This window comes from Homo sapiens, chromosome 9, assembly GCF_000001405.40.
Source record: "Homo sapiens chromosome 9, GRCh38.p14 Primary Assembly".
Lineage (NCBI taxonomy): Eukaryota > Metazoa > Chordata > Mammalia > Primates > Hominidae > Homo > Homo sapiens.
Window position 1 is genome coordinate 70,177,240 of NC_000009.12, and position 13,261 is coordinate 70,190,500.

Below are 13,261 nucleotides of genomic sequence, written 5' to 3' on the forward strand. Positions count from 1 at the left end.
AAGGTTACTTGGACACAAGATCTGTGATACTGTGACAGTCAGTCTGATAACAAAGATGGCTAAGTGACTCACAGGCAGAGAGTGTAGACAGCATGGAGACATTGGACAAAGAGATGATTTGTGTTCTGCTTGGGACAGAGTGGAACAGTGGAAGATTTCATCATGCTACTCACAACAGAACATAGTTTAAAACTTATGAATTGTTTATTTCTGGAACTTTCCATGTAATATTTTTGGGCCACAGCTGACTGTGGGTAACCGAAACCATGGAAGGCAAAAACAGATAAAGGGGGCACTACTATATTGGACATTTACCACGTGTAGGCACTGCGCTAGGAACCTCAACATCCTTTCCACAACCTGTAAGGTAAGTGAAAGTTCCCACGTTTTGCAGGAGGAAGCTGAAGTTTAGGGAAGTTAAGTGCCTTTCCAGGGCCAGCACTTACTGGTGGAGCAGTAACTGGTGGAGCAAAGACTTAATCTCACATTTGTCTGGTTCTAATGGCTATATATTCTGCCTACACTGCCTCACTAGGGTTTCCAAACCTACATGCTACTAAGAGACCACACATGGCCTGGAACAGCTGTGACAACTTATATGTGAAAAGCACAGTTTTTCATAAACCAAAGACCCTTCACACCAAAGCAGAGTGTCTTCTCCTAGAAAATACAATGATTGGTATTTTGGAACATTCCTAGAAATTGATCCAGCAGAAAACATCTAAACTTTTTCTGATCTATTTCTAGTGTCTGTATAACAATGTTGTCAGTGTAACCCCAGGGCTGTAGGCCACACACTTATTATGTATCCTACACCCCACAAAAGAGTGGTTTTCCTTTGTCCTAGCCTCTAATGGTGTGAGCTCAATGTGGCTGATGTATTGGCACTCAGATTGCAATGTGACAAGGGTTACTGTCTCAATCCATTTTGTGCTGCTATAACAGAATGGCTGAACTGAGCAATTTATATAGAATGGAAACTTATATCCTTACAGTTCTAGGGGCTGCAAAGTCTAAGATCAAGGTTCTGATATCTAGTGAGAGCCATCTTGCTACATCATCCCATGGTGGAAGGGGCAGAGAGAGGGTAAGGGAAAGAGCAAGAGGGAACCAAACTCATCCTTTAACAAGGAACCTACTCCCATGATAATGGCATTAATCCATTAACAAGGGCAGTGCCCCCATGACCCAAACATCTCCCATTAAGCCCTACCTTTCGACACCACTGCATTGGGGAATCAAGTTTCCAACTCATGAGTTTTGGGGGATACATCCAAACCATGGCAGTTACCCATTCAAAAATTAATGCATAAACAAACAAAGGTTTCTCTAAAACATTCACTTATTTGTTAAAACAACCAGCATCATAAGCTACATGTATATAAGAATTAAACCTCTCATAACTGAAAGCAATCAGAAATGGTATATAGTCCAGGATCCCTAGGATCTTGTTCTATTCCATATTTCCTGAATACCCACTATGCATTATACATCAAATAATTGCCCCAGAGTTATAATAAGTCAAGTAATAAGGGTTAAGTCCTAGAGGTAATGAAACCACACAGCTAGCTCTCCTTGTGGGTATCTGAGTGTGAGTTCATCAAGAATGGTAGGGAGGAAGGAAGCATTCCAGGATGAGGGAATGGCTGGTGTGAAGTATGGAGCCATTAAACAGTGTGGCAGCTTTCGAAGAACTGTAAGTGACTAGGCTGGCATGTAGAATATTGTCACCCAGGATTACCAACAAAGTGGAGTCTAAAATATAGGCTTTTTTGTGCAATATTGGCAGTTTTGTTTTAATATTTCCAAAGATTATCAACTTACAACCTTGAGACTAAGAACACTTATCATAGGAAACATTGGTTAAGACGTTATTGTAAAAAACGTATTTACTTAAAATTAAATGTACCCACCAACTTTATCAAAATTACCTGTAACTAAGACATTGGAGATCTATCTCTAGCTAACATAACAATACTAAAATGAGGTGGGGCCGGGCATGGTGGCTCACGCTTGTAATCCCAGCACTTTGGGAGGCTGAGGCAGGCGGATCACGAGGTCAGGAGATCGAGACTATCCTGGCTAACACGGTGAAACCTCGTCTCTACTAAAAACACACACACACACACACAAAATTAGCTGGGTGTGGTGGCGGGTGCCTGTAGTCCCAGCTACTTGGAAGACTGAGGCAGGAGAATGGCGTGAACCCGGAAGGCGGAGCTTGCAGTGAGCCGAGATCATGCCACTGCACTCCAGCCTGGGCAACAGAGCAAGACTCCGTCTCAAAAAAAATAAATAAATAAATAAATAAAAATAAAATAAAATAAGGCATAGATTCCCTTAAAATTAGGAACATAACTAAGGCATTCCTTTCTACAAATGAAAAAAAAAAAAAACAAAAGCTTTAAAATCTAGTGCATAAACTCAATATTACATTTCAAACTCTTAGCCAGAAGATATATGCTCCTATAAAATTCCAGCCAGGATGGGTATAGTGTGTAGAAAGATGAAGAAAAATAAATGAATTATAGACCTCTTTTTCTAGCAAAAAAAAAATACACTAGAGATCACTGTGCACTCGCTACAAAACACCTGAAAATGCAAGAAAAAAAGGATAAATGGATAAAATATTCCTTTTTTTTTTTTACATTAATTTCTGGGATACAAGTGCAGAACATGCAGGTTTGTTACACAGGTATACATGTGTGATGGTGCTTTGCCAGACCTATCATCCCAACATCTAGGTTTTAAGCCCTGCATGCATTAGATATTTGTCCCCCCACCCCCCAACAGGCCCCGGTGTGTGATGCTCCCCTCCCTGTGTCCACGTGTTATCATTGTTCAACTCCCACTTATGAGTGAGAACATGCAGTGTTTGGTTTTCTGTTCCTGTGTTAGTCTGCTGAGAATGATGCTTTCCAGCTTCATCCATGTCCCTCCAAAGGACATGAACTCATTCTTTTTTATGGCTGCATAGTATTTCATGGGGTATATGTGCCACATTTTCTTTATCCAGTCTATCACTGATGGGCATTTTGGTTGGTTCCAAGTCTTTGCTATTGTAAATAGTGCTGCAGTAAACATATGTGTGCATGTGTCTTTACAGTAGAATGATTTATAATCCTTTGGGTATATACCCAGTAACGGGATTGTTGGGTCAAATGGTATTTCTGGTTCTAGATCCTTGAAGAATTGCCACACTGTCTCCCACAATGGTTGAACTAATTTACACTCCCACCAACAGTGTAAAAGCATTCCTATTTTTCCACATCCTCTCTCTACATCTGTTGTTTTCTGACTTTTTAATGATTGCCATTCTAACTGGCATGAGATGGTATCTCATTGTGTTTTTGATTTGCATTTCTCTAATGACCAGTGATGATGAGCTTTTTTTCATGTTTGTTGGCTGCATAAACATCTTCTTTTGAGAAGTGTCTGTTCATATCCTTCGGCCACTTTTTGATGGGGGTTGGTTTTTTCTTGTAAATTTGTTTAAGTTCACTGTACATTCCAGATATTAGACCTTTGTCAGATTGATAGATTGCAAAACTTTTCTCCTATTCTGTAGGAATACTCTGATGGCAGTTTCTTTTGCTGTGCAGAAGCTCTTTAGTTTAATCAGATCACATTTGTCAATTTTGGCTTTTGCTGCAATTGCTTTTGATATTTTAGTCATGAAGTCTTTGCCCATGTCTATGTCCTGAATGGTATTGCCTAGGTTTTCTTCATGGTTTTTATGGTTTTAGGTTTTATACTTAAGTCTTTAATCCAACTTGAGTTAATTTTGTATAAGGTGTAAGGAAGGGGTCCAGTTTCAGTTTTCTGCATATGGCTAGCCAGTTTTCCCAGCAACATTTATTACATAGAGAATCCTTTCCCCATTGCTTGTTTTTATCAGGTTTGTCAAAGATCATATGGTTGCAGATGTGTGGTGTTATTTCTGAGGCCTCTGTTCTGTTCCATTGGTCTATATGTCTGTTTTGGCACCAGTACCATGCTGTTTTGGTTACTGTAGCCTTGTAGTATAGTCTGAAGTCAGGTAACGTGATGCCTCCAGCTTTGTTCTTTTTGCTTAGGATAGTCTTGGCTATACAGGCTCTTTTTTGGTTCCATATGAAATTTAAAGTAGTTTTTTCTAATTCTGTGAAGAACGTCAATGGTAGCTTGATGGGAATAGCATTGAATCTATAAATTACTTTGGGCAGTATGGCCATTTTCATGATATTGATTCTTCCTATTGATAAGCATGGAATTTTTTTTCCATTTGTTTGTGTCCTCTCTTATTTTTCTTGAGCACTGGTTTGTAGTTCTTTTTGAAGAGGTCCTTCACATCCCTTGTAAGTTGTATTCCTTGGTATTTTATTTTCTTTGTAGCTATTGTGAATGGGAAGTTCACTCATTATTTGGCTCTCTGCTTGTCTATTATTGGTGTATAGGGATGCTTGTGATTTTTGCACATTGATTTTGTATCCAGAGACTTTGCTGAAGTTGATTATCAGCTTAAGGAGTTTTTGGGCTGAGACAATGGGGTTTTCTAAATATACAATCATGTCATCTGCAAAAAGAGACAATTTGACTTCCTCTCTTCCTATTTGAGTACCTTTTATTTCTTTCTCTTGCCTGATTGCCCTGGACAGAACTTCCAATACTATGTTGAATAGGAATGGTGAGAGAGGGTATCCTTGTCTTTGCCAGTTTTCAAAGGGAATGCTTCCAGCTTTTCCCCATTCGGTATGATATTGGCTATGGGTTTGTCATAAATAGCTCTTATTATTTTGAGGTATCTCACATGAACACCTAGTTTATTGAGAGTTTTTAGCATGAAGCGGTGTTGAATTTTATCGAAGGCCTTTTCTGCATCTATTGAGATAATCATGTGGTTTTTGTCATTGGTTCTGTTTATGTGATGGATTACATTTATTGATTTGTGTATGTCGAACCAGCCTTGTATCCCAGGGATGAAGCCGACTTGATTGTGGTGGATAAGCTTTTTGATGTGCTGCTGGATTCGGTTGGTCAGTATTTTATTGAGGATTTTTGCATTGATGTTCATCAGGGACATTGGCCTGAAATTTTCTTTTTTTGTTGTGTCTCTGCCAGGTTTTGGTGTCAGAATGATGCCGGCCTCATAAAATGAATTAGGGAGGAGTCTCTCTTTTTCTATTGCTTGGAATAATTTCAGAAGGAATGGTACCAGCTCCTCTTTGTACCTCTGGTAGAATTTGGCTGTGAATCCATCTGGTCCTGGGCTTTTTTTGGTTGGTAGGCTATTAATTACTGCCTTAATTTCAGAACTTGTTATTGGTCTATTCAGGGATTCTACTTCTTCCTGATTTAGTCTTGGGAGGGTGTATGTGTCCAGGAATTTATCCATTTCTTCTAGATTTTCTAGTTTATTTTCATAGAGGTGTTTATAGTATTCTCTGATGGTAGTTTGTATTTCTGTAGGATCAGTTGTGATATTCCCTTTATCATTTTTTATTGCATCTATTTGATTCTTCTCTGTTCTTTTTTATTAGTCTGAGCGGTCTATCTATTTTATTGATCTTTTTAAAAAACCAGCTCCTGGATTCACTGATTTTTTTGAAGGGACTTTCATGTCTCTATCTCCTTCAGCTCTGCTCTGATCTTCATTATTTCTTGTCTTCTAGCTTTTGAATTTGTTTGCTCTTGCTTGTCTAGTTCTTTTAATTGTGATGTTAGGGTGTCGATTTTAGATCTTTCCTGCTTTCTCCTTTGGGCATTTAGTGCTATACATTTCCCTCTAATGCTGCTTTGGCTGTGTCCCAGAGATTCTGGTACATTGTGTCTTTGTTCTCATTGGTTTCAAAACACATCTTTATTTCTGCTTTCATTTTGTTGTTTTCCCAGTAGTCATTCAGGAGCGGGTTGTTCAGTTTCCATGTAGTTGTGCAGTTTTGAGTGGGTTTCCTAATCCTGAGTCCTAATTTGATTGCACTGTGGTCTGAAAGACTGTTTGTTATGATTTCTGTTCTTTTGCATTTACTGAGGAGTGTTTTACTTCCAATTATGTGGTCAATTTTAGAATAAGTGCGATGTGTTGCTGAGAAGAATGTATATTCTCCTGATTTGGGGTGGAGAGTTCTGTAGATATCTATTAGGTCCGCTTGGTCCAGAGCTGAGTTCAAGTCCTGGATATCCTTGTTAATTTTCTGTCTCATTGATCTAATACTGACAATGGGGTGTTAAAGTCTTCCACTATTACTGTGTGTGAGTCTAAGTCTCTTTGTATGTCTTTAGGAACTTGCTTTATGAATCTGGGTACTCCTGTATTTGGTGCATATATATTTAGGATAGTTAGCTCTTCTTGTTGCATTGATCCCTTTACCATTATGTAATGGCCTTCTTTGTCTGTTTTGATCTTTGTTGGTTTAAAGTCTGTTTTATCAGAGACTAGGATTGCAACCCTTGCTTTTTTTTTCTCTTTGCATTTGCTTGGTAAATATTCCTCCATCTTTTTATTTTGAGCCTATGTGTGTCTTTGCATGTGAGATGAGTCTCCTGAATACAGCACACTGATGGGTCTTGACTCTATCCAATTTGCCAGTCTGTGTCTTTTAATTGGGGCATTTAGCCCGTTTACATTTAAGATTAATATTGTTATTTGATTCTGTCATTATGTGAATTTGATTCTGTCATTGTGTGAATTTGATTCTGTCATTATGATGGTAGCTGGTTATTGTGGCTGTTACTTGATGTAGTTTCTTCATAGTGTTGATGTTCTTTACAATTTGGTACGTATTTGCAGTAGCTGGTACTGGTTTTTCCTTTCCATATTTAGTGCTTCCTTCAGGAGCTCTTGTAGGGCAAGCCTGGTGGTGACGAAATCCTTCAGCATTTGCTTGTCTGTAAAGGATTTTAATTCTCCTTCACTTATGAAGCTTAGTTTGGCTGGATATGAAATTCTGGGTTGAAAATTCTTTTCTTTAAGAATGTTGCATATTGGTCCCTACTCTCTTCTGGCTTGTAGGGTTTCTGCAGAGAGATCCACTGTTAGTCTGATGGGCTTCCCTTTCTAAGAAACCTGACCTTTCTCTGTGGCTGCCTTTAACATTTTTTCTTTCATTTCAACCTTGGAGAATCTGATGATTATGTGTCTTCATGTTGCTCTTCTCATGGAGTATCTTAGTGGTGTTTTCTGTATTTCCTGAATTTGAATGTTGGCCTGTCTTGCTAGGTTGGGGAAGTTCTCCTGGATAATACCATGAAGTATGTTTTCCAACTTGGTTCCATTCTTCCCCTCACTTTCAGGTACACCAATCAGTCATAGATTTGGTCTTTTCACATAGTCCCATATTTCTTGGAGGCTTTGATCATCTTTTTCATTTTTTTTCTCTAATCTTGTCTTTATGCCTTATTTCAGTAAGTTGATCCTCAATTTCTGATATTCTTTCTTCTGCTTGATTGATTTGGCTATTGATACTTGTGTATGCTTCACAGAGTTCTCATGCTGTGTTTTTCAGCTCCATCAGGTCATTTATGTTCTTCTTTAAACTGGTTATTCTAGTTAGCAGTTCCTGTAACCTTTTATCAAGGTTCTCGGCTTCCTTGCATTGGGTTAGAACATGCTCCTTTACCTCAGAGGAATTTATTACCTATCTTCTGAAGCCGACTTTTGTCAATTTGTCAAACTCATTCTCCATCCAGTTTTGTGCCCTTGCTGGAGAAGAGTTCTGATCATTTAGAGAAGAAGCAGCATTGTGATTTTTGGAATTTTCAGCATTTTTGTGCTGGTTTTTACTCATCTTCATGGATTTCTCTACCTTTGATATTTGAAGTTGATGACTTTTGGATGGGGATTTTGTGTGGGGGTCCTTTGTGTTGATGTTGATATTATTGTTTTCTGTCTGTTAGTTTTTCTTCTAACAGTCAGGCCCCTCTTCTGCAGGTCTGCTGCAGTTTGCTGGAGATCCATTCCAGACCCTGTTTGCCTGGGCATCATCATTGGAGGCAGCAGAACAGCAAAGATTGCTGCTTGCTCCTTTCTCTGGAAGCTTTGTCCCAGAGGGCCACCTGCCAGATGCCAGCCAGAGCTCTCCTGTAAGAGGTGTCTGTCGGTCCCTGCTGGGAGGTCTCTTCCAGTCAGGAGGCACGGGAGTCAGGGACCCACTTGAGAAGGTAGTCTGTCCCTTAGCAGAGCTTGGGCACTGTGCTGGGAGAATCCTCCCTGTCAGGATCCACTGTTCTCTTCAGAGCCGGCAGGGAGGGACATTTAAGTCCACTGAAGCTGCACCCACAGCTACCCCTTCCCCCAGGGGCTCTGTCCCAGGGAGATGGGAATTTTATCTATAAGCTGCTGCCTTTCTTTCAGAGATCCTGCCCAGTGAGGAGTGATCTAGGGAGGCAGTCTGGCCACAACCGCTTTGCCACACTGTGGTGAGTTCTGCCCAGTCTGAACTTCCTGGCCTCCTTAGCACTGTCCGGGAAAAACTGCCTACACAAGCCTCAGTAATGACGGATGCTCCTCTCACACCAAACTCCATCATCCCAGGTCAACATCAGACTGCTATGCTGGCATTGAGAATTTCAAGCCAGTGTTTCTTAGCTTGCTGGGTTCCATGGGAGTGGGACCCACTGAGTGAGACCACTTGGCTCCCTGGCTTCAGCTCCCTTTCCAGGAAAGTGAACGGTTCTGTCCTGCTGGGGTTCTAGGCACCACTCAGTTGGAAATGCAAAAATCACTCGTCTTCTGCATAGGTCTTGCTAGGAGCTGCAGACCAGAGCTGTTCCTATTTGGCCATCTTGCCAGATTTCAATATACGCTTTTTGTTGAGTTCTTATTGTTTATATTCCTTTACAAGTTGTTTTTTTTTCTTTAGCTCACAACTAACATTACGATAGTTGTATTATTTTCATAACTAGCCTAGTATTTGCTTTATATTTATATGTTTTTTAAATCCTAAAAAGTATTCTATATTTATTCACATATTTCCCCATTCATCTTCATTCCTTTCTACATTTCCATGTTTATCTCTTGAATTATTTTCTTTTGTGGGAAGTGTTTTTCTTTTGCTAGAATAATTTTCTTCTGTATCTAGCTTTTTATTTTTGTTTTGTTTCATTTTATTTTTGGTGCATGTCTGCTGCTGATTCTTTCAGTTTTTGTTTGTCTGGGAATGTCTTTTTCCTTTACATTTGAAGGATAGTTTTTCTGGGAATAGAATTCTAGGTGAACAATTATTTCCTTAACAGCCATTTATTTAAAGATGTAATTCAACTGAATTCTGGCTTCCATCATATCTATTGAGAAGTCAGATGTCAGTCCTAAAATTGTTTTTTGTTTTTGTTTTTATTTTGAAAGTACTATTTTCCTCTGGGTGCATTTAATATTTTCTCCTCATGTTTGATTTTCAGCATTTTAGTATGATATGTATTTGTCCACTTTGCATTGTTATAAAGGAATATCTGAGATGAGAATTTATAAAGAAAAGTGTTTTATTTGGCTCATGGTTCTGCAGGCTCTAACAGCATAGCACCAACATGAGCTCAGCTTCTGGTGAAGTCTCAGGAAGATTTTACTTGTAGCGGAAGGCAAACGCAGAGCAGGCATGTCAACATGGTGAGACAGAGCAAGAGGGAGGCAGGAAGGAGGTGCTAGGCTCTTTAAACAACCAGTTCTTACGTGAACTAATAGAGCAAAAACTCACTAATCATGAAGGGGATGGCACCAAGCCATTCATGAGGGATCCACTCCCATGACCCAAACATCTCCCACTAGGTCACACCTCCAACATTGGGGATCACATTTCAACATGAGATTTCAGAGGACAAATATCCAAACTATATCAACATGCATGTGTGTAGTCTTCTTTGTAGTTATTCTGCTTGGGTTTCATTAAATTTCTTTAATCTTTGAGCTGAGATCTTTCAATAGTTTTCAAAATTTCTTGATCTTTATCTTGTCAAATATTGCCCCTGCCTAACTGTCTCTCCTATCTTTCTGAGACTCCAATTATATGTACATTAAAAGTTCTTACTATGTATTATATATCCTTCATGCTCTCTTACAAATATTTTCTTTCTTTTTGTTCTCAGTTCTTTAGTTTGGGTATTTTCTCTTGGCCAATTAAAAAATTTTTTTTGAATCTTAGCGATGTTCAGTATGTTATTAAACCCATTAACTGATTTTTAATTTCTGTAATTCTATTTTTCAATTCTAGAATTTCCATTTGTTCATTTTTAAATAGTTTTGAGATGGAATTTGCATTCCAAATAATTCATTTTTTAAAGTATATAATTCATTGGTTTTAAATATACTCATGAAGCTGTGTAATGCTTATCACTATCTAATTCTAGAACATTTTTTATCACCTCAAAAGAAACTCCATACCCATTAGTAGTCACTCCCATTCCCTTTCCCTATCTCTTCCCTCTTTACCCCACCCCCAGAAAACTACTAATCTACTTTCTGTCTATATAGATTTGCCCATCTAGACCTTTCATACAAATCAGATCATACAATATGTGGTCTTCTGTATCTGGCTTCTTTCACTAAGACAAGGTTTTCAAGGTTTATAAATTTATCAATTGATGAACATTTGGATTGCTTTCATTTTTTGGCTACTATAATAATGATGCTATTTTATTTGTGAACAACTTTTTCTGTGGACATATGTTTTCATTTTCTTTAAGGTATAAACCAGGGAGTGGAACTGTTGGATCGTATGGTAACTCTACACTTAACTATTTAATAATTGCCAGACTTTTTCAAAGTGGCTGTACCATTTTACATTCCCACTAGCAGTGTATTAGGGTTTCAGTTTCTCCATATCCTTGTCAACATTTCTCACTTTCTCTTTTTTATTATAGTCATCCCAAGTGGGAGGTGGCATCTCATGTCTATTTTGTCTGATATTATTGTAGCCACTCCAGTTCTTTTTTGGGAACTGCATGAATGGTATATCATTTTCCAATCTTTCAGTTGCAACTTATTTGTATATTTGAATCTAAAGTGTGTCTCTTGGAGACAACATATAGTTGGATCATTTTTTCAATTCATTCTACCAGTCTCTACCATTTGATCAGAGTGTTAACAATTACGATTTACAATTAACATAATTATTAATAAGGTAGAATTTATGTTTGCATTTTGGCATTTGTTTTCTGTATGTATTACATCTTCTTTTTGTTCCTTTATTCTATTACTGTTTTTCATGTTAAATAGATATTTTCTAATATACCATTTTAATTCTTGTTTTATTTTACTATATATTTCTAAGTTATTTTCTTAGTGGTTGCCCTAGGGATTTCAATTAACATCTTTAAAAAATATTTTTACAAGTAATTTTTTAAAATGTTATTATTCCCCAAAGAGGGTGCACCATTCCTGGAGGTACTGCAATACCTGGAGTGGACAGAGTAAGCTCCTATCCCATCTCCCTGCTCCAAAAACCCATTTAATATAGTATCCTCAGATAGAGGACATATCAGATATTAAACTTATAAGAACAGATACTACACTTGATCTTAGCCAAAACACTGAGAGGTGATCAAAACAATTGATTTTTTTTTTTTTTTTTTTTTTAGAAAGAAGTGGGGTCTCACATGCTGTCCAGGCTAGTCTCAAACTCCTGGGCTCAAGCCATCCTCTCACCTCGGCCTCCCAAAGTGCTGGGATTCAGGCATGAGCCACCACTCCTGGCCCTCAATTAATAACTTGACTTAAGATAATCTAGTTCATATTAACTTAATTTCATAGCATACAAAAACTATGCTTCATTTCTTCCTTCCATTATTCTATCATGAATATGGCACCTTTTTGTGTTATAAGCCCATTGACACAGTTTTATAATTATTGCTTTATGCAGTTGGTTGTCTTTTAAATCAGAAGATAAGAGAAATAAAAATATACTTATTCTGTTCTTTATATTTACCTACACAGTTATCTTTATTGGTACTTTTTATTTCTTCATACAAGTTTGAGTTACTATCTAGTACACTTTGCTTTTAGCCTGAAGGACTTCCTTTAGTAGCTAGTGATGAATTTAGTTTTATTTATTTGAGAGTGTCCTAAGTTCCCTTTTGTTTTTGAAGGGTAGATTTCCTGCATATAGAATTCTTAGTTTTCTTTCAACACTTTTATATATGTCATCTCACTATCTTCTGGCCTTTACAGTTTCTGATGAGGAGTTAGCTGTTAATCTTATTGAGGTTCTCTTGTATATAATGAGTCACTTTTCTCTTGCTTTCAAGATTCTCATCCTGAAGTCAGCTGATTAGCAAAGAAAAAATTTTATTAATTAAAAAGATTTGCTCATTGTCTTTGGCTTGTAACAGTTAAATGTAATTTTTCTAGTAGTGACTCCTTGAATTTTCCTAGTTGAAGTTCTTTGACTTTCTTGAATGTATAGACTTATATTTTTAAAAATCAGGTTTGAAAAGGTTTTGGCTATTAATTTTTCAAATGTTCTTTCTTCCCCTTTCTCTCTCTCTTCCTTTTGGGACTTCCACTATGCATATGTTGGTACACTTGATGGTGTGTCTCACAGGTCTCTGAGTCTCTGTTCATTTTTTCTTTTATCTTTTTTTTCTTTATGTTCTTCAGATTGGATAATCTCATTGACCTGCCTTCAAGTTTAGTGATTCTTTCTTCTGCTAGTTCCAATCTGCTGCTGGGCCCTCTCATGAATATTTTATTTCATTATATTTTTCAAATCTGTAATTCGTACATGGTTCTTACTTATAATTTGTAGTATTATTAATGATACTCTCTATGCATTGAGTCATCATTCTCATACTTTATTTAGAAATGGCTTTCATTAATTCTTTAAACATATTTGTAATAGTTGCCTTAAAGTCTTTGTATAGTAAGTCCAATGTCTTGACTTCCTCAGGGATAACTTCTATTGACTGCTTTTTATCCTGTGTATGGGCAATAGTTTCCTATTTCTTTGTGTGTCTCATAATTTTTGCTGAAAACTGGACGTTTTGAATAATACAGTTTTACAGATTCTTCTTCTCCCCATAGTTTTTTTGTTATTGCTGTTTGTTGTTTTTGTTTTTGTTGTCATTGTTGCTGTATGTTTGCTTAGTGACTTTCCTAGACTAATTCTGTAGTCTATATTCTTTGTTGTGTATGGCTCTGCTCTGTTAGCTTAACAGTCAACTAATTATTGAACAGAGATTTTCCTTAAATGCCTTAAACCAACAGATCCCCCAGAACACAGCAGGTTCTGTGTTTGTGTTGGGTCATGTCTTCAGTGCTCTAGCGGGAAGTTTACAACTTTGCCTTAGCCTCCAT

General features: G+C 37.6%; 1 protein-coding gene and 1 pseudogene across 2 annotated transcripts in view; one reads left to right on the forward strand and one right to left on the reverse strand.

Moving 5' to 3' along the window:
* MAMDC2 (MAM domain containing 2) overlaps positions 1-13,261 on the forward strand; it is a 183,392-nt gene that overhangs the window by 133,659 nt on the left and 36,472 nt on the right. The window lies entirely within an intron of this gene.
* On the reverse strand, positions 11,335-11,511 carry RNU2-5P (RNA, U2 small nuclear 5, pseudogene; annotated as a pseudogene).